The sequence below is a fragment of the Homo sapiens genome, chromosome 19, assembly GCF_000001405.40.
Source record: "Homo sapiens chromosome 19, GRCh38.p14 Primary Assembly".
NCBI lineage: Eukaryota > Metazoa > Chordata > Mammalia > Primates > Hominidae > Homo > Homo sapiens.
Genome location: NC_000019.10, coordinates 43,479,987 through 43,501,102, shown reverse-complemented (window position 1 = coordinate 43,501,102; position 21,116 = coordinate 43,479,987). Strand labels below are relative to the sequence as shown.

The 21,116-nt window shown below is 48.9% G+C and overlaps 1 protein-coding gene across 7 annotated transcripts in view, besides 1 other annotated feature; it reads left to right on the top strand.

Annotated features, from left to right (window-relative positions):
• Positions 1-21,116, top strand: part of PHLDB3 (pleckstrin homology like domain family B member 3) — a 29,644-nt gene that overhangs the window by 3,644 nt on the left and 4,884 nt on the right. For 4 of the 7 annotated variants that reach the window (XM_005259170.5, XM_005259169.5, XM_047439241.1 and 1 more), the window contains 9 exons: positions 3,227-3,355; positions 3,824-3,985; positions 5,498-5,608; positions 5,764-5,847; positions 6,288-6,401; positions 13,980-14,079; positions 14,233-14,323; positions 14,407-14,494; positions 14,781-14,837. In XM_005259170.5, the coding sequence (XP_005259227.1) occupies positions 3,227-3,355; positions 3,824-3,985; positions 5,498-5,608; positions 5,764-5,847; positions 6,288-6,401; positions 13,980-14,079; positions 14,233-14,323; positions 14,407-14,494; positions 14,781-14,837 (936 nt within the window). Of the gene's footprint in view, positions 1-3,226; positions 3,356-3,823; positions 3,986-5,482; positions 5,609-5,763; positions 5,848-6,287; positions 6,402-13,979; positions 14,080-14,232; positions 14,324-14,406; positions 14,495-14,780; positions 14,838-14,942; positions 15,558-21,116 lie in introns of those variants that run through there. The other 3 variants (XM_005259171.5, NM_198850.4, XM_047439242.1) reach the window with 3 other exon arrangements.
• Positions 1,712-2,006: an enhancer, noted in NCBI's record as "tiled region #2471; HepG2 Activating DNase matched - State 5:Enh". NCBI's record gives its function as "activates a minimal TATA promoter and a strong SV40 promoter by Sharpr-MPRA in HepG2 cells {active_cell/tissue: HepG2}" and the evidence as "EXISTENCE:reporter gene assay evidence [ECO:0000049][PMID:27701403]".

The following is a 21,116-nucleotide window of genomic DNA, read 5'->3' as shown; positions in this document are numbered from 1 at the left end:
CAATGATTAATATTCTTACATTCTTGTTTCATTATCTCCAATTTGTTCTCGTCCCCAGTTTTAAAAGCCAATCCCAGACATCATATGGTCTGTACATATGTTTAGAGTGTATCATTGACAGATAAGAAATCCTTTTAGGCTGGGCCAAGTGGCTCACACCTGTAATCCCAGTACTTGCGGGGTGGGGGGGGGGTACGGGGGGCGGGGCAAAGTGGGAGGATCGCTTGAGGCCAAGACTATGAGACCAGCCTGGCAATATTATAATAAGACACCGTTTCTGTGAAAAATAAAAATACAAAAATTAACCAGGCATGGTGGCATGTGCCTGTGGCCTCAGACTCAGAAGAGTGAGGTGGGAGGATCAATTGAGCCCAGAAGGTAGAGGCTGCAGTGAGCTGTGATTATAACATTGCACTCCAACCTGGGCGATAGAGCAAGACCCTGTCTCAAAAATAAAAAATTAATAAGTTCTTAGTATTGTCTTATTTCTGGTTAGTTTTTGTGTTTCCCAGACAGTCTCAAAATGCCAGTTAACAGGTGGCTTGTTTGAATGAAGTCCCCAAAGTTCAGTGTGATTGGCTGATACGTCTTGCCCATTGTTTTATCTCTGGTGGTTCCTACCCGCTGTGTCTTCCCCATACTGTTTATTGGAAAAATCCAGTCTTCTGTCCTATAGGCAGAGCATGGCTGATCGCATGCCTGTGGTGCCCTTGAACATGCCTCTGTTTCTGCAAGTGGGTGTTGGTTAGAGGGAGAGGTTTGATCGTATTCAGAAGTGCTTTAGTGCTTCCTGAGCCAGTGTTGGGAACCTCATCTCTGGTTGTCCCGACCTAATAAGATCACCCTAGTCTCTTTTTTTTTGCGAGACACAGTTTCGCTCTTGTTGCCCAGGCTGGAGTGCAATGGCGTGATCTTGGCTCACCGTAACCTCTGCCTCCCAGGTTCAAGCGATTCTCCTGTCTTAGCCTCCCCAGTAGCTGGGATTACAGGCATGCACCACCATGCCCGGGTAATTTTGTATTTTCAGTAGAGATGGGGTTTCTCCATGCTGGTCAGGCTGGTCTCGAACTCCTGACCTCAGGTGATCTGCCCGCCTTGGCCTCCCAAAGTGCTGGGATTACAGGTATGAGCCACCGCAGTTCGAGGCCAGCCTGGCCAACATGATGAAACCCCATCTCTACTAAAAATACAAAAAATTAGCTGGGCGTGGTGGCAGGCACCAGTAATCCCAGCTATTCGGGAGGCTGAGGCAGGAGAATTGCTTGAATCCGGGAGGTGGAGGTTGCAGCTCCCAGGAGCCAAGATCACACCACTGCACTCCAGCCTGGGCAACGGGAGCAGAACTCCATCTCAAAAAAAAGAATCTTTTATCTGAAGATTGTAACATCCATCAGTGGTCATTGCTTGGGTCAGTTACCATTATAGGTTGGAAAATGGTGACTTGTGATTTTGTCAGTTTTTTTCTTTGCAAGTGTCGTGTATGTTGGAATTTTATGAGGCTGGGTCCTAGGCCCTCATTTATCCTCAAAGATCACATATTTCTCCCAGGCCCTCTCTCCTGAGACAGAAATGTGCTCTTCTTCCTAGGGTACTGGCTACTTCATACTCCCTTCTCACCCAGATCCAGAAATCTCGGTCGCAGCCCCTTCTCCCTCTGTCCCAGGAGTCCAGACCCCCAGCTCCTCCTCCCTCAAACCCAGAAGTCCAGACCCCCAGATCCTCCTTCCTTAGATCCAGGAATCCAGGCCCCAGCCCCTCCTCCCTCTGACCCAGGAGTCTGGCTGACCTCAGCAACTCCCTTCTCCACACTGTTTGTCTTGCTGTCCCTTTGGTCACCAGGCCAGAGTCCTGGACTTTGCCCTGTACACTTCCCTGTCTCTCACCTCCAAGCCCGTCAACCACCATGTCCTATCCTTTCTGCTTCCTGATCCTCTCTGTCTAGTCCATCTATTTTTCAGCCCCACCGCCCAGGCCCCAGCTTAGGTCTCACCCTCATTGCTTGGAGGACTCCCGAGGCAGCTGCTCTCCACCCCTGTAACCCATCTCCCAGAGGGATGATTCCTAGCTCCTACCCCATCCTTTCAGTCCTTCTGAGGCTCCCCATATCCCCAGGTTGACCAAACCCCCCGTGAGCTGGACGAGCTGGCCTTCCCACTGTCCTCTCCCACCACGTTCTTCCCACCACCACATCCTCTTCCACCCTGGCTGGAGTTTGTCCCCCAGACTTCTTGTACTTTTCAACTTTCATGCATTTGTGCCAAGCCGCTTCCTCTGCCCAAAATGCTCTTCTAGCTCCTTTTATTTTCCCAGATCCAAATGCTCCCTGATTGTTTTGTTTTGTTTTGATTTTGAGACAGGGTCTCACTGTCGCCCAGGCTGGAGTGCAGTAGTGCAATCACTGCAGCCTCAACCTCTGGCTGACATTGTTCTTCATTCTGGGTTCCCACAGTCTCTGGATTTTACTGCCCTGATCTTTCCAACTGGCTGTGTTCCCACTTGGAGGACAGGGCCCAGACACAATCCACTTCTGCATCCACCGTATCACATAACATGAATATGTTTTGCATTCATTAATTTTCTTTCTTCTTTCCTTCCTTCCATCATTCCTTCCTTCCTTCCTTTTTGTTTCTCTTTCTCCTCCTTTCCTTTTCTTTCTTTTTCTTTCTCTTCCCTCCCTCCCTCTTTTCTTTCTCTCTCTCCTTCCTTCGTTCCTTCCCTCTTTCTCTCTTTCTTTCTTTTCTGTCTTTTCTCCTTTCCTTCCCTTTCGAGACAGTGTCTCCCTCTGTCACCCAGACTGGAACAGTGATGCAAACACAGCTCAGTGCAGCCTCAATCTCCCTGGCTCAAGCAATCCTCCCACCTCAGCCTCCCGAGTAGCTGGAACTACAGGCGTGCACTAACACACTCCACTAATTTTTTTGTTTTTTTGTAGAGATGGGCTCCCCCTATGTTGCCCAGGCTAGTCTCAAACACCTGGGCTCAAGAGATCTTCCCACTTTGGCCTCCCACAGTGCTAGGATTACAGGTGTGGGCCACCACACCTGGCCTCATTCATTTCTTTAAAATCTTGGTGCTGACTGTGAGGCAGGCCTGCACAGGAGTGAATCACATAGATGAAGTCCCTGCCTTTGTACAGCCGACACCCCAGGCAGGCTCTGAGATATGGCTGGCTGCTGCTTCTCCCGCTATGCTTAAGCTGAGGGTGAGAACCTTGTTGTTCTTTCAGGAACAGAGGCGGCTGAGCCAGGAACGGGATCGCCTAGAGGGTCTTCGCCAGAGACTCCGCAAGGCCCAGGGACAGCTCGACTCACAGCCAGAGGACCAACGCGAGCGGCTTCTGCAGGGTGTGCAGGAGGTAATGGCATCTGGTTCTTTCTTTTTTGTTTTTTTTGAGACAGAGTCTCGCCTCGTTGCCCAGGCTGGAGTGCAGTGGTGCGATCTCGGCTCACTGCAACCTCCGCCTCCCAGGTTCAAGCGATTCTCCCATCTCAGCCTCCCGTGTAGCTGGGACTACAGGTGCGCACCACCACACCCAGCTAATTTTTGGCATTTTAGTAGAGACGGGGTTTCACTATTTTGGCTAGGCTGGTTTCGAACTCCTGACAGGTGATCCACCTGCCTCGGCCTCCCAAAGTGCTGGGATTACAGGCGTGAGCCACTGTGCCCAGCTGGCCCTCTGATTCTTAGCCCCCTCCTCCCCAGGACCCAGGAATCCAAGTCCTCAGTCACCTTCTTCCTCTGACCAGGAGTCCCAGCCCCAGCCCACTACTCCCTGGGGTCTTAGGGATTCAGGCCTCCACCCTTTTTGTGTTCCGACCTATAGATGAGGGAACAACTGGATGTGGCCCAACGTGCCTATGAGGACCTGGAGTTCCAGCAACTGGAGCGGGAGAGCCGGCAGGAGGAGGAGGATCGGGACAGCCCTGGGCCCCAGGTGCCAGACCCCAAGGTCCAGGAACTCCAGGCCAGCATGGCGCAGCACAGAGTGAGTCATGCCTGACCAGCGCTGCCCCCCTTGCTGCTCCTCTCTGTCTCCCCTGCTCTGTGCCTGCCTTTTTCTCTGTCCTTGTTTCCTGCCTGTCATGTTCTTCTGAATAGTAACAACAAGAGCTGATACTAATGAAACATTTACTATGTGCCAGATATGGTCCTGAATATTTCATGAGCATTTCCTCACTGAATCCTTACAACAAACTTATGAGGCAAGTTCTATTACGTTTTTTTTTTTTCACGTTATAAATAAAGAAGCTGAAGGTCAAGGTGCTTAAGTAATCTTTTCCAAGTTTCCTTAGTAAGGGACAGAGCCAGGATTTTTTTATTTTTATTTTTTGAGATAGCGTCTCACTCTGTCACCCAGGCTGGAGTGCAGTGACACGTTCACAGCTCACTGCAGCCTCCACGTCCTGTGCTTAAGCGATCCTCCCACCTCAGCCTCTCGAGTAGCTGGGACCACAGGTGCGAGCCCCTACACCTGGATAATTTTTGTATTTTTAGTAGAGACAGGGTTTCACCTGGTCTTAAACTCTTGGATTCAAGCGATCCTCCCACCTTGGCCTTTCAAGATGCTGGGATTACAGACATGAGCCACCGTGCCTCGCCACAGCCAGGATTTGAACAAACTTGGTATTCACCACCACATTCTTTGCCTCTATTCCAAAAAGATGCTTCATCAGATCCTTCCTGGGAGCCTCACATTCAAGGGTCTGACTTGTGAGACCCTTGGGAAAAAATGGGCATGTTTGACCATATTTAACACAGAGTTTCCCAAAGTTTTGGATTAGAAAGCTCGGCCGGGCTCGGTGGCTCACTCCTGTAATCCCAGCACTTTGGGAGGCCGAGGCAGGCAGATGACCTGAGTTTGGGAGTTTGAGACCAGCCTGACCAACATGGAGAAAGCCCATCTCTACTAAAAATACAAAATTAGCTGAGGGTGGTGACGCATGCCTGTAATCCCAGCTACTCGGGAGGCTGAGGCAGAGAATTGCTTGAATCCGGGAGGCGGAGGTGGCGGTGAGCCGAGATTGAGCCATTGCACTCCAGCCTGGGCAACAACAGCAAAACTCCATCTCAAAAAAAAAAAAAAAAAGAGCTTTTCTTGGGTCTCCTTTCCCCACCTGCTTCTGGATCTTTTTCCTCTCCCGCTGGCTTTTCCTTCGTCTCGGGTTGTCTCTACTTGTCTCTGTTCTATTTCTATCTTTTCTTTTGCCTGAATCTTTGTCTACATCTCTGTCTTTTGGGGCCTGTCTTGGTTACTGTTCTCTCTGTCCATCCCTTTCTCTTCATCTTCCCCAGATCTCTTCTGGACCCTCAAAAGGGAAGAGGGTCCAGGGAGCTGAACGCTGGGTCCCCAGCCCTGGACACTCCGATCCCATGGTCTCTGGGAGTGGCTGGAGTAAACCCCAGCCCTCCAGGCAGATGTGGTTCTGTGGGAGGGTGGCCTGGAGAGCTGGCTGGGGCCGTGACAGATGAGTAACCGGGACAGAGGGGTGCTCTGCAGCACCGGATCCGGGTCCTGGAAGAGCAGCTCAAGTCACTGGGGGAGCAGATGGCAGCCGAGAGCCGGGGGTTGAGCCGGAAGAAGGAGGAGGCCCTTCAGGCCCTGTCACAGGTGAGCTACCTGTCACCTGCCCTACCCTACCGTCCTCACTTCCCCCTGGGGCATCCCACCACCTCCCTGCACCCCAGATGTCTCCTGACATTAGGGAAAGCAGCTGGGACAGCCCATTCTGACTTTGACACGTAGCTGTCCATATCTTCTGGTAGGAACGGAGCCGGCTGCTCGAGCTCAATTGCCTTCAGGGAACACCTGGCGGGGACTTCTCTGAGCCCAACCCGGCCCTCACTAAGGTATGGGGATTTTGTATGCCTCTCAGTCCCTCCTCCCTCAGACTTGAAAGTCCAGTCCCCAGCCCCTCCTCCCTCAGACGCAGGAGTCCAGGCCCTAGCCCCTCCTCCCTCAGACCCAGGAGTCCAGGCCCCAGCCCCTCCTCCCTCAGACTCAGGAGTCCAGGCCCCAGCCCCTCCTCTCTCAGACCCAGGAGTCCAGGCCCCAGCCCCACCTCCCTCAGACCCAGGAGTCCAGCCCCCAGCCCCTCCTCAGGGAGCCAGGAGTCTCTGCCCACAGCCCTACATTGGGAGACTGGACACGAAGGACCACATTCCATCTCTCCTTAGTTTTTCTTTCTGAGAAATGGGTGGCACTAGAGGCATGGGCCAGAGCACGTGGAAACTGGCAGTTGCTCTGGGGTCTCTCCTGCTCCCACGAAACTTCACCCCATCTCTTGCAGCTGCTGTTCACCCAGAAGACAGACCGCCAGCTGCTGGTGCTCCAGGATGCCGTGGCCCACTCCGCTGCCACCCCTACTTCTTCCTGCCTCTTTTCTGTCCACAGCTCCCTGCAGGTGCCTCCCCCACGGCCTCTGTTTCCCCATATATCTTATTGGTCAGTGAGGAGGGAGGGGCTAACAGCAGAGTCCCCGAACTGGGGTCTCCAGAACTTCCACTCTGATTTTCTGTATGGGGCCGGTGGGGGATAGGGAAGGTTGGCCAAGGGTTATTCCTATGACTCCAGCTTTATTATTGTTATTTTTTTTCTGTGTAACACCCACCCCTGCCCTGGCGAAATGGGAACATGTGCACCCAGGAGTAGATTTTAAAAGCAACCAAACAGCATATTTTAATAAGGTCTCCCCTTCTCAGAAGTAACGCAGCTACTTGTGTTTTGAGAATCCTTCTAGACTTCCTTAAAACTGCGGGGGTGGTGGGGGGGCAGCTCATTTATAGTTAAAACAGGCGCCCAGCATGGTGGCTCATGCCTGTAATCCCAGCACTTTGGGAGGCCAAGGCAAGCGGATGACCTGAGGTCAGGAGTTCGAGACCAGCCTGGCCAATATGGTGAAACCCCATCTCTACTAAAAATACAAAAATTAGCCAGGCATGGTGATGCAGGGCTGAGGCACGAGAATTACTTGAACCTGAGAAGGCAGAGGTTGCAGTGAGCCGAGATTATGCCACTGTACTCCAGCCTAGGCGACAGAGTGAGACTTTGTCTCAAAAAACAAACAAAAAAAATCCCTAATCCAAAATGCTCAAAAATCTGAAACTCTTTGAGTGCCTACATGATACTCCAAGGAAATGCACATTGGAGCAGTTTGGGTTTCAGAGTTTTAGGTTAGGGATGCTCAACCCAAATATTCCAAAATCTGAAAAAAAATCCCAAATCTGAAACCCTTCTGGTCCCAAGTATTTTGGAGAAGGGATATTCAACCTGTCCTTCTGAAAAATGTGTATATTAGCTACTAGTTGGCTTTTCTTTTTAAAAATGATATATTTGGGACATATTTATGGGGTACATATGCTATTACATGCATAGAATGTGTAATAAGTCAGGGTATTGGGGTATCTATCACCTCAAGTATTTATCATTTCTGTGTGTTGAGAACATTTCAAGTCCTCTTCTAGCTTTTTTTTTTTGACAGAGTCTCACTCTGTTGCCCAGGCTAGAGTGCAATGGTGGGATCACAGCTCACTGCAGCCTCAACCTCCCAGGCTCAGGTGATCCTCCTTGAGTAGCTGGGACCACAGGCATGCACCACACACCACCATACACAGCTGATTTTTGAAGTTATTTTTGTAGAGTTGGGGTCTTCCTTTTGCCCAAGCTGGTCTTGAACCCTTAGGCTCAAATGGTCCTCTTGTTTTAGCCTCCCAAATTGCTGGGATTACAGGCATGAGCCACCGCGCATGGGTCCAATTTGTAGAGATAGGGTCTCACTGGCTTTTATTTTATTTATTTATTTATTTATTTATTTATTTATTTATTCTGAGACAGAGTTTCACTCTTATTGCCAGGCTGGAGTGCAATGGTGCGATCTCAACTCACTGCAACCTCCGCCTCCTGGGTTCAAGCGATTCTCCAGCCTCAGCCTCCTGAGTAGCTGGGATTACAGGCATGCGCCACCAAGCCTGGCTAATTTTTGTATTTTTAGTAGAGATGGGGTTTTGCCATGTTGGCCAGGCTGGTCTCGAACTCCTGACCTCAGGTGATCTGCCCACCTTGGCCTCCCAAAGTGCTGGGATTACAGGTGTGAGCCACTGTGCCTGGCCCACTGGTTTTTATTTTTTAACTTAACTCTATCTTGGAGATTGTTTTACATTGATACATTTACAGTTGCCTCATTTTTAATGACTTTACAATAATAATAATAATAACATTAACAATAGCAATAATAATAACAATGGTTTTATTGAGTCATTATAGTGTGCAAGGCATGGTTACAAATGCTTCATGCTGATTGGCTTACTGATTTGTCTTTGCAACAAATCTGTGAGCTAGGTTCTTGTTTCCATGTTATAGGCAAAAACACCAAGAGAGGTTAAGTTGTTTAACCAGCTAGTATGTGGCAGAGCTGGGATTTGAACCCAGGTACTCTGTTTTCAGAACTTAGGTTCTTTTTTCCTTTTTTTTTTTTTTTTTTTGAGATAGGGTCTGGCTCTGTCACCCAGGCCAGAGTGCAGTGACACGATCTGCCTCCCAGGCTCAAGCCATCCTGCAGTTTAAGCAATACTGTTAAGAATACCAGTGTGTGGGCTGGGCTTGGTGGCTCATGCCTGTAACCCCAGCATTTTGGGAGGCTGAGGCAGATGGATCACCTGAGGTCAGGAGTTCCAGACCTGGGCGACAGAGTGAGACTTTGTCTTAAAAATAAATAAATAATAACAGTGTGCGTCAGCTCATGCCTGTAATCCAGCACTTTGAGAGGCCGAGGTGGGTGGATCCCTTGAGGACAGGAGTTCAAGACCAGCCTGGCCAACTTGGTGAAACCCCATCTCTACTAAAAATACAAAAAATTGGCTGGGCGCGGTGGCTCACACCTGTAATCCCAGCACTTTGGGAGGCGGAGACAGGCGGAGCACGAGGTCAGGAGTTCGAGACCAGCCTGGCCAACATGGTGAAACCCCGTCTCTACTAAAAATACAAAAATTAGCCGGGTGTGGTGCATGCCTGTAGTCACAGCTACTTGGGAGGCTGAGACAGAAGAATCGCTTGAACCCGGAAGGCGGAGGTTGCAGTGAGCCGAGATCATGCCACTGCTCTCCAGCCTGGGTGACAGAGCGAGACTCTGTCTCAAAAAAAAAAAAAACAAAAAAAAAAAAACGGCCAGGTGCAGTGGCTCACGCTGGTAATCCTAGCACTTTGGGAGGCAGAGGCAGGCAGGTCATAAGGTCAGGAGATCGAGACCAGCCTGGCTAACATGGTGAAACCCTGTCTCTACTAAAAATACAACAAATTAGCCTAGTCCCAGCTACTCAGGAGGCTTTGGCAGGAGAATTGCTTGAACCTGGGAGGCGGAGGTTGCAGTGAGCTGAGATCATGCCACTGCACTCCAGCCTGGGCAACAGAGCGAGACCTTGTCTCAAAAAAAAAAAAAAAATTAGCTGGGTGTGCTGGTGCGTGCCTATAATCCCAGTTACTCGGGAGGCTGAGGCAGGAGAATAGTTTGAACCCAGGAGATGGAGGTTTCGGTGAGCTAAGGTCGCACCACTGCATGACAGCCTGGGCAACAGAGCGAGACTCCATCTTAAAAAAAAAAAATCTTGTTATTTATTAATCAATATTAATAACACTAATTTTAAAGCACTTAATATAGGTCAGGGTCTGTTCTAAACCATTTTATCACTTTGAATCTTATGGAATTGCTAATATTTGGAGGCAAGAAACAGTCGTATACTGGCAATTCCCCTGGCTCAACCTAATATATAAAATTTCATTTTTTCTTGGGAAGAACCCTCACAAGCAGGTTCCGTTATTATTTGGGTGAAGGGTTAGCAGATGTTCTTCTGTATGGGAAATTAACTTTCTGGCTGCTTCCCCTGGAAACCTGATGAAGGTAGGTGTCAGCTGTGTTGCCAGGCAACGTGACTTAGGATAGCAATTACCCTTATTAGTAAATTGCATATATGAAAATATTTGGTGGGACGCCATGTCCAGTCCTATGGAGTTGTCACCTGACTTGTTGGCCCCTGTGCACAGAAGGCCTCTAAGCCCAGGTGCACCCTGTACCCACCAATGTGGATCATTGCTTAGCTCCTGGATCTCACCTGGGGGCCATGCATGCTTCTACATGCATTGCAGGAGGTCACTCATTTAATCCTTGCAACAACCCAGGAAGGGCAGTGAGATGTTACCCACTTTACAGAGAGGACACCTCGCTTGAGAAGAGAAATGACTTGCCTACGTCATGCACCCAGGAAGTGGCAGAGCTGGGATTTGAACCCGAACCGGCCTGTTTCTATGGCCTGCTGATGGCTTATGCAGTTCCTACAACATAAGTGCCCTGCAGACAAAGCTGGGGTCTGACCTGCCCACTTGGTTCCTCAGTGCCAAGTATCTAATATCTCCCAGCTAGGAAGTGCTGGGAATGTGGCTGGAAGGAAGGAAAAAGTCAAGTAAAGCACGGGGATTTGAGCCTCAGTTTCTTCTCTGTGAAGTGGAGCTAACATTTCTCAACTCCCAGAGTTTTTATTTTTTTTAGTTTTCAATTTTTGAGACAGTCTCGCTCTGTCGCCCAGGCTGGAGTGGAGTGTAATGGTGCGATCTTGGCTCACTGCAGCCTCTACCTCCCAGACTCAAGCGATTCTCCTGCCTCAGCCCCCCAAGTAGCTGGGATTACAGACATGCGCCAGGCTAATTTTTGTATTCTTTGTAGACATGGGGTCTCACTATATTGCCCCAGTCTGGTCTCAAATTCCTGAGCTAAAGTGATCTGCCTTCCCTGGACCTCCCAAAGTGCTAGGATTACAGGTGTGAGCCTTCATGCCTGGCCCATTATTTTCTTACCCATGATTCCCCTTAACCCCTAAATATTCCTAAATTTACTACCTAATGTCAAGCCCATTCTCTTACACAACCACAGTTCAATGATCGATTTCAGGAAACTACCACTGAGACAACACTATTAGAATCCACAGACCTTATTTGTATTTTGTCAGTTGTTCCACCAATGTTTTTCCCTCCCTCCCTCCCTTCCTCCTTCCCTTCCTTCCTTCCTTCCTTCCTTTTTCTCTCTCTTGCTCTTTCTTTTTTTTTTTCCTTTTTGGCAGAGTCTTGCTCTGCCGCTCAGGCTGGAGTGCAGTGGTGTGATCTCGGCTCACTGCAACCACTGCCTCCCTGGTTCAAGTGATTCTCCTGCCTCAGACTCCCGAGTAGCTGGAATTACAGGTGCCCACCACCACGCCCAGCTTATTTTTGTATTTTTAGTAGAGACGGGGTTTCACCATGTTGGCCAGGCTGGTCTCGAACTCCTGACCTCAGGTGATCTGCCTGCCTCGGCCTTCCAGAGTGCTGGGATTACAGGCATGAGCCACTGTTCCTGGCCCCACCAGTGTTTTTTCTAGCAAAAAATTCACAAAAAAAAACAAACTTTTTTTTTCTTGGCTCAGGAACACAGGTTGCATTTAGTTGTCATGTTTATTTGCTTTTAAAAAGTTAACATTCTCCTCGTTCAAAATTCACATGGTGTGGGAGGATATTCAGAGAAGACTCTGCGGCTCTTGTTCCCCCTCCTACGCTGTTCACTTCCTGAGGGCCACCAGGGTTACCAATTTCCCATGTGTTCCCCAGAGATATTCTGTGTTGACACAGCTAGTCATGTATGTACTTTCTCCCTCTTTTATGCATACCTAGTTTATTCTATGCTGTTCTGTACTCGCTTAAAAAAAAAAAAAAAAAAACTTTAAGAGATAGATCTCACTGTCGCCCAGGCTGGAGTGCAGTGGCATGATCATGGCTCACTGCAGGGTCAACCTCCTGGGCTCAAGTGATCCTCCCACCTCAGCCTCCTGAGTAGCTGGGACTACAGGTGCACGCTACCACACCTGGCCTTGGTTTTCTCTTGGATATTATGTTCTGTTTTTTTTCTTTTCTTTTTTGGATATTATGTTCTACCTGGATGTAGGATGCATCTTCCTCTTGTTCTACACTGCAGAATTGTCCTTAGAGTCACTTGGGTGCGGTGGCTCACGCCTGTAATCCCAGCACTTTGGGAGGCCGAGGCAGGTGGATCACTTGAAGTCAGGAGTTCGAGACCAGCCTGGCCAATATGGTGAAACCCCATCTCTACTAAAAATACAAAAATTAGCCTGGCGTGGTGGCACATGCCTGTAATCCCAGCTACTCGTGAGGCTGAGGCAGAAGAATCGCTTGAACCCAGGAGGCGGAGGTTGCAATGAGCCGAGATTGTGCTACTGCACTCCAGCCTGGGCAACAGAGTGAGACTCCAACTCAAAAAAAAAAAAAATGGTCTATGGAGTGCATAAGCCATGGTTCATTTACCTTGTCCCCTTCTGATGGGCATTTAGGTGGTCTCCAGGCTTTTGCTAGCACAGATGGCACTGCAGGGAATCACCTTGAACTCAGATCACTTTGCATGTGTATGAGTGTATCCATCCGCTGAATTTCTAGAATTGGAATTGGGGCTCCATGGTTTATGCATTTGTCATTCAGATTTTTTTTAAAAAAGCCAAGTTGCCCTCCATAAAGCTTGTTCCAGTAGAACACCCCCAGTATCATGTGAGGGCATCTGGGTTTCCTACATAGCCACCAGCACGGTGGGTTTTTTGTTTTTTTGTTTTACTTATTTTTTTTGAGACAGGCTGTCACTCTGTCGCCCAGACTGGAGCGCAGTGGCACAATCTCAGCTCCCTGCAACCTTGACCTCCGGGGTTCAAGCGATCCTTCCACGTCAGCCTCCACAGTAGCTGGGACTGCAGGCACGTGCCACTATGCCCAGCTAATTTTTCTATTTTTTTGTAGAGACAGAGTTTCACCATGTTGCCCAGGCTCATCTCCAACTCCTGGGCTCAAGCAATTTGCCTGCCTCAGCCTCAAAGTGCTGGCATTATAGGTGTGAGCCACTGCGCCTGGCTGCAGTGGGACTTTTTTTTTTTTGCGACAGAGTCTCGCTCTGTCGTCCAGCCTGGATTTCAGTGGCGAGATCTCGGCTCACTGGAACCTTTGCCTCCCAGGTTCAAGCAATTCTCCTGCCTCAGCCTCCTGAAAAGCTGGGATTACAGGCATGTGCCACCACACCTGGCTAATTTTTGTATTTTTAGTAGAGACGGGGTTTCACCATGTTGGCCTGGCTGGTCTCAAACGCCTGACCTCAAGTTATTCACCCGCCTCGGCCTCCCAAAGTGCTGGGATTACAGGTGTGAGCCACCACACCTGGCCCACAGTGGGATTTTTAGAAAGAGTTTTATTGAGGCATAATTCACGTCCCTATACAATTCATTCATTTAAAATGTACAGTTCTGTGTCTTTTAGTATATTCAACGTTGCGCAAACATTACCACAATCAATTTTAGAACATTTTCATTATCCCCCAAAAGAAACCCTGCATCCCTTAGCCTCTCGGTTCCCCGATCTACCCCAGTCCGGGCAACCACAATTCTACTTCCCATTTCTATGTTAATTTGCCTGTTCCGGACATTTCTTTTTTTCTTTTCTGTGTTTTTTTTTTTTTTTTTTGAGACAGAGTCTTGCTCTGTCGCCCAGGCTGGAGTACAGTGGCGCGATCTCAGCTCATTGCAATCTCCACCTCCCGGGTTCAAGCGATTCTTCTGCCTCAGCCTCCCGAGTAGCTGGGACTACAGGCGCGTGCCACCATGCCCGGCTAATTTCTGTATTTTTAGTAGAGATGGGGTTTCACCATATTGGCCAGGCTGGTGTCGAGCTCCCGGCCTCAGGTGATCCACCTGCCTTGGACTCCCAAAGTGCTGGGATTACAGGCATAAGCCACTGTGCTCAGCTTGATATTTCTTATAAACGGGATCATACCCCTGTGAGGTCCTTTCACTCAGCACATGGACAGTAGTGTTTTGATTTGTGCTGACTGGGTGGTGGCTTCACTGGGCAGTGCTCTGACTTAGGTTGGAGATCAAGCCTTTTTCCTATGCTCATGAGCCTTTTGTGTTTTCAGGGCTCCATTGGCCTCCAGAGGACTGGGAGCCTGCCCCGGAAAAGGGGGGAGAGGGGGAGCCAGAGAGGATCCCCCCGACCTCTGTCCTTCCATTGTACTGGTGAGGATCCCCCTGTTCCCCACTTCCTTCCCACATCAGCACTCATCCTGCAGCAGAGGATGGAGGAAACCCGCACCTATGCCTGCAGGGGAGAAGTGGATAGGCTCAGGCCAGGGTGTATCCAGCCCTGTAACCTGGTCCCCTCTACCCTAGAATCCCTGGAGGCCTCAGCTCTCCCGCCAGCAGTGGGGGACTCCGGCAGATACCCCCTCTACCAGCTGCTGAACTGTGGCCGTGGGAATAGGTGAGACATCAGAGAGAAGGTGGGGAGATGGAAGAAGAGGCCCAGCCACTGTAACCCACCCCGTCTGTGTTCCCTCCTCCTAGCTGTGGGGCCATCCATCCAGACATTGCCCACATGGAGCGGCTCCTGCAGCAGGCCATGGCGGAGAGGGAGCGGCTGCTCAAGGCCCGGGTGAGAGCCCAGGCCATCCTCTTCGGAACAGAAGACTGCCCCAGCCTCTCCTCCCTCAGACCTGGGAGACCCCCAACTCCACCTCCCTCAGACCCAGGGGTCCAGGCCCCCAGCCCCTCCACCCTCAGACCCAGGAGTCCAGGCCCCCAGCCCATCCTCCCTCATACCCAGGAGTCCAGGCCCCCAGTCCCTGTACCCTCAGAACAGAGAAGCTAGGACATTCTCCAGCCACCCTACCATCTTATGGGCTGGGATCCTCATTGAGTGCTTCATCCTGAATCCACAGGAAGGAACAAGAAGGGGCACGGAAGGTTCCTCAGGCCCTGCTGTTCCTGCCATCACGGTCAGTCCCACCCCCGCCCTCACGCCCACCTCTCCCTGCTCTGTTTCTCCCCCTGACCTATGCCCTTTCTTACATCTGACCCTTTCCTCTCCTCCAATTGAACAGAAAATTGTCCTGGGCTTGGCAAGGGAAAGGGAACTGCAGAGGACCAGTTCCTGTTCCCATGACCGGATGATGGTCATCTCCATGTGTGGCAGGTCCTCGGGTAACTTGCTCTACTCTGCCTCATTTTCCTCTTCTGTACATTGGTGACAATGTCAGCAGTCAGTACAGAAGGAGGACAAGTCCATGCTGGGACTTATTCCTGGCCTCAAGCAATCCTCCTGCCTCAGCCTCCCAGAGTACTGGGATTATAGCGTGAACCACCATGCCCAGTCCATGCTGGAACTTTTAAAAATCATTTAAAATTTTGTTTTTGGCTGGGTGCAGTGGCTCATGCCTGTAATCCCAGCACTTTGGGAGGCCAAGGCGGGTGGATCACCTGAGTTTGCGACCAGCCTGGCCAGCATGGTGAAACCCCATCTCTACTAAAAATACAAAAATTAGCCGGGCATGGTGGCACATGCCTGTAATCCCAGCTACTCGGGAGACTGAGGCATGAGAATCACTTGAACCCGCAGGTGGAGGTTGCAGTGAGCCGAGATTGTACCACTACACTCCAGCCTTGGCAATAAGAGCGAAAATCTGTCTCAAAAAAAAAAAAAAATCAAAACCAAAAAACTGTTTTTATTTTTATTTATTTAAAAAACTTTTTAGGCCGGGCGCAGTGGCTCACGCCTGTAATCCCAGCACTTTGGGAGGCTGAGGTGGGTGGATCATGAGGTCAGGAGTTCAAGACCAGCCTGGCCAAGATGGTGAAACCCCGTCTCTACTAAAAATACAAAAAATTAGCCGGGCATGGTGGCGGGCACCTGTAATCCCAGCTACTCAGGAGGCTGAGGCAGAGAATTGCTTGAACCTGGGAGGTGCAGGTTGCAGTGAGCCAAGATCACACCACTGCACTCCAGTCTTGGTGACAGACCAAGATTCTGTCTCAAAAAAAAAAACAAAAAACCTTTTTACGATAGAAATATTCAAGCATATGCATGAGAGAAGGAGTAGATTAATAGACCCCCAGGTGCCCACTGCGCAGCTTTAATCATTTTCAATATTGAATCTTGTACTTGCCAACTTTTTATTTATTTTATTTAACATTTTAATTTGTGTATGTACTAGGTATATATATTTTATTTTTATTTTTAATATTTTTCTTTTTTTCTCATAAGTCTTCTGCACTCCTATATTTTTAATGTATTTTATTTTTGTAGAGATAGAGTCTTGCTATGTTGTCCAGGCTGATCTCAAACTCCTGGCCTCAAACAATCCTCCCATGTCAGCCTCCAAGCTGCTAGAATTATAAGAATAATTCTAGGGCATTGGTGCCCAGCCACCAATTTTATTTTACTAATCCCATACCTACATCCCACTCTGCACTGAAATATTTTAAAGCAAAATATTGTATCCTTTCACTCAAACATCACTGTGTATCTCCAATAGATAGGCTTGTTTTTTGGGGGACAGAGTTTTACTCTTGTCGCCCAGGCTAGAGTGCAGTGATGTGATCTCAGCTCACTGGAACCTCTGCCTCCCTGGTTCAAGCGATTCTTCTACCTCAGCCTCCCGAGTAGCTGGGAGTACAGGTGCCCACCACCACACCCATTTATTTTTTTTGTTTGTTTTTAGTAGCGATGGGGTTTTGCCATGCTGTCCGGGCTGGTCTTGAACTCCTGACCTCAGGTGATCTGTGTGCCTTGGCCTCAAAAAGTGCTGGGATTAAAAGTGTAAGCCACTGTGCCTGGCCAATAAGTTTTTTTTTTTTTTTAACATAACAAAAATTCCATTGTCACATCTTATGAGATTATTAATTTCATTATATTGTAATATATAGTCCATATTCACATTTCTCTCATTGTCTCCAAAATATGTTTTTAAAAATTTATTTATTATTTTTCTTTTCCTTTTTTTTTTTTTTTTCCAAGATGGAGTCTCACTTTGTTGCCCAAGCTGGAGTGCAGTATTACAATCTCGGCTCACTGCAATCTCCGCCTCCAGGGTTCAAGCGATTCTCCCGCCTCAGCCTCTGGAGTAGCTAGGATTACAGGCGCCCACCACCATGCCTGGCTAATTTTGTATTTATAGTAGAGACGGGGTTTCACCATGTTGGCCAGGCTGGTTTTGAACTCCTGACCTCAGGTGATCCACCCGCTTTGGCCTCCCAAAGTGCTGGCATTACAGGCATGAGCTACCGTGCCTGGCCTTGTTTTCCATTTTTAACAGTAGAGACACTATGTTGGCCAGGCTGGTATTGAATTCCTGGCCTCGAGCCTCCCTTCTGGCCAAAGTGCTGAGATTATAGGCCTGAACCATCATGCCTGACCTAAAATATCTTTTCACAGTTGATTTATTTGAATCTATATGCAAAGCACACGCTATGCATTTGGTTTAATGTCTCTTAAATCTTTTAATCTCTAACAGTTCTGCCTCCCCATTAAAGAAAATGCTATTTATTTGTGGAAATAATCAAATAATTTATCCTGTTGACTTTTTCACATTCTTGATTTAGCTGACAACTCCCTTACATAAATTACATTTTTGCCTATACTAATAACATTCATAGAATCAATGCGTTTTGTTATAAAGAATGATAAAGCTAGGCACCATAGCTCACGCCTATAATCTCAGCACTTTGAGAGGCCGAGGTGGGAGGATCACTTGAGTCCCGGAGCTGGAGAACAGCCTGGGCAACATAGTCAGACCCTCATCTCTACAGAAATTTAAAAAATTAGCAGGTGTGGTGGTGCATGCCTTTGGTCCCAGCTACTCGGGAAAAGGCTAAGGTGGGAGGATTGCTTGAGCCCAGTGGGTGGAGGCTGCAGTGAGCTATAATCGCCCCACTGCACTCCAGCTTCAGTGACAGAGTGAGACCCTGCCTCAAAAAAAAAAAAGAATGATAGATAAAGTATTAAGAAAGTGGTCACTTTCTTCCTGATCTCACTTCTACTGCTGAGAAGCCTTCAAATCTGTGTTTATACTTTTCCACATGCACCAGTCAAGCCATATTTTGTGAATTTGTCTCATAAATAAGCACATCCTTCCCAACCTTTTTGTTTTTACCACCATTTGTCCTTCCCTTATTCATTTCAGCCCATATTTATTGAGTGCCTACTGTGTGCTAGACCCTGGGTCATAGCAGTGACCAAGATAACAATCCCCACCTTTGGGGGAAGCTGATGTTTTAAGGGGGAAGATGGACACAAAGCAACATCAATATGTAAAATAAATAGCATGTCAGAGGCTGATAAGAGCCAGGGAGCAAAATAAGGCAGGAACGGCAGTGGGGTCTTCTGCATTGTTAGGCATAAGCTTGTGCTCATTAAAAACGAAGCACAGGCCAGGCGTGGTGGCTCACGCCTGTAATCCCAGCATTTTGGGAGGCTGAGGTGGGCAGATCACCTGAGGTCAGGAGTTCGAGACCAGCCTGACCAACATGGAGAAACCCCGTCTCTACTGAAAATACAAAAATCATCTGGGCGTGGTGGCATGTGCCTATAGTCACAGCTACCCGAGAGGCTGAGGCAGGAGAATCGCTTGAACTGGGAAGCAGAGGTTGCAATGAGCCAAGATCACACCACTGCTCTCCAGCCTGGGTGACAGAGCGAGACTCTGTCTCAAAACAAACAAACAAACAAACAAACAGAATTGCTCCTGCTCTGGTGTTCTGCCTGGCTTCTAGCATCATCATTTATTAAACAGTCCCCTGCTGTGTGCTTTGTCCCCTGCCGTACACCCCTGCTATCTTTTGTGCACGTGAGCAAGTGTGTCCCTGGGCTTCACACCTAGAAGAGGAACCTCTAGGTGAGAGACCCTGAGGGCAGCCAGCTCATCCTTGAAACAGCCCCAGAGGAGAGTGCTGTGATAACCCTGGTGTTTTAGCATAGGGAACTGAGGCTCCCAGAGGGGCAGGAGTTCTGTGGAGGTGACACAGCCGGGCAGTGGTGGAGTCCCAAGCCCATCCCTGGTCTCCTCCTAGATTGGGGCCCAGCTCCCCTACATCCTAGTTTGGTGACCTTGGAGAGTCACCTCTTCTTAAAGCCTCAGTTTCTTGATCTGTCTAGCAGGAACATTAATGGGTTCTTTTGGAGAAGAAACGAGGTAATCACAGTGACCACTTGGCATAGTGCCTGACACAGAGCGGGAGCTTCCACACACAGTGGTGATCCTTGGTCTTTCTGTGTGGATTTGGGGAGATTGCAGGCCCAGCGGGTACTCTTTAAACCTGGCCTTTCCCTCCCTTCCTTTCCCTCCTCCCTAATCCTTCTCATTTCCCCACCTCACTCTCCTGTCTCCAACCAGCAGATCTCATCTCTGTTTCTCATCCCTTCTTGCTCTGGCCTTGCTTCAGTTTTCTTTCTTTTCTTTCTTTTTTTTTTTTTGAGACATGGTCTCCCTTTGTCACCCAGCCTGGAGTGCCGTGGTGTGATCTCGGCTCACTGCAACCCCCACCTCCTGGGCTCAAGCGATCCTCCCACCTCAGCCTCCTAATTAGCCGGGATCCTAGGCACACACCACCATGCCTGGCTAATGTTTGTATTTTTGTATTTTTTTTTTGAGATGGAGTTTCGCTCTTGTTGCCAAGGCTGGAGTGCAATGGTGCCATCTTGATTCACCGCAACCTCCACCTCCCGAGTTCAAGCGATTCTCCTGCCTCAGCCTCCTGAGTAGCTGGGATTACAGGCATGCGCCACCACGCCTGGCTAATTTTGTATTTTCAGCAGAGACAGGGTTTCTCCATGTTGGTCAGGCTGGTCTCAAACTCCCAACCTCAGGTGATCCCCCCACCTTGGCTTCCCAAAGTGCTGGGATTGTAGGCGTGAGCCACCACGCCCAGCCTAATTTTTGTATTTTTTGTAGAGACGGGGTTTCGCCATGTTGCCCCAGGCTGGTCTCAAACTCCTGGGTTTAAGTGATCCTCCCCTCTTGGCCTCCCAAAGTGCTGGGATTACACGTGTGAGCCACCGCACCCATCCTGCTTCAGTTTTCTAACTCCTTGACACTCAAAGTGTGGCTGGTGGAACAGCAGCATCAGGGCCCACCTGGGAGCTTGTCAGACATGCAGAACCTCTCCCCCTACTCCAGACTCCACCCTGAAATGACTGAATCAGAGTCTGCATTTTAACATTTTAACAAAATCCCCAGCGGATCTGCTTGCATGAAGAAATCTGAGATGTACTACCCTGAACCTCAGTTTGACCTCCGGAATCATACCACTGTTTGCAGGGATTATTTGGGAAGAATAGGTTGGATCAGACCAGCTCATGGTCAGGCTCTCATAAATAGTGGACACTTGTATTGCCTTAAATCCTCCTCCCCAACCTGTATGACCATCTGAGGTGACCACTCTACCTGGTGAGTCCTGGCTCTGTCAGCTCTGGCTGTGTGACTTGTGCCGAGTGACTTAACCTCTCTGAGTCTTGGTTTCCACATCTGTGAAACGGAGATAAATGTACTTACCCCTTCAGGAGAGTTTGAGGGGGCAGAGATTATACCTAGAAAGTACTTAGCAGAGGATTATATTCATTAATTTCATCACAACAATAATAATGTAAACAAGCTCTCTCTTTCTTTTTTATTTTTGAGACAGGGTCTCACTCAATCACCCAGGCTGGAGTGCAGTGGTGCAATCATAGCTCAATGCAATTTCGATCTCCTGGGCTCAAGTGATCCTCCTGGGCTCAGCCTCCTTAGTAGCTGGAACTACAGGTGTGCAGCACTAGGCCCAGCTAATTTTTTGGATTTTTAGTAGAGATGGGGTCTCACTATATTGCCCAGGCTGGTCTCCAACTCATAGCCTCAAGTGATCCTCCCACTTCAGCTTCCCAAAGTGCTGAGATTACAGGCATGAGCCACTGCACATAGCTTCTCTTCTCTCTCTCCTTTTTTTTTTTTTTTTTTTTTTTTTTTTAAATAGAGAAGGGGTCTTCTGTGTTGCCCAGGCTGGTTTCCAACTTCTGGGATCAAGGGATCCTCCCACCGCAGCCTCCTGAGTAGCTGGAATTACAGGCTTAAGCCACCACACAGGCTCCAATCTTCATTTCTTTTTTCCAAAAAAAATTTTTTTTTTTCAGAGACAGGATCTCACTATGTTGCCCAGGCTGCCCTTGAATTCTTAGGCCTAAGGGATCCTCCTACCTCAGCCTCCCAAAGTTCTGAGATTACAGGCATAAGCCACCACACCCGGCC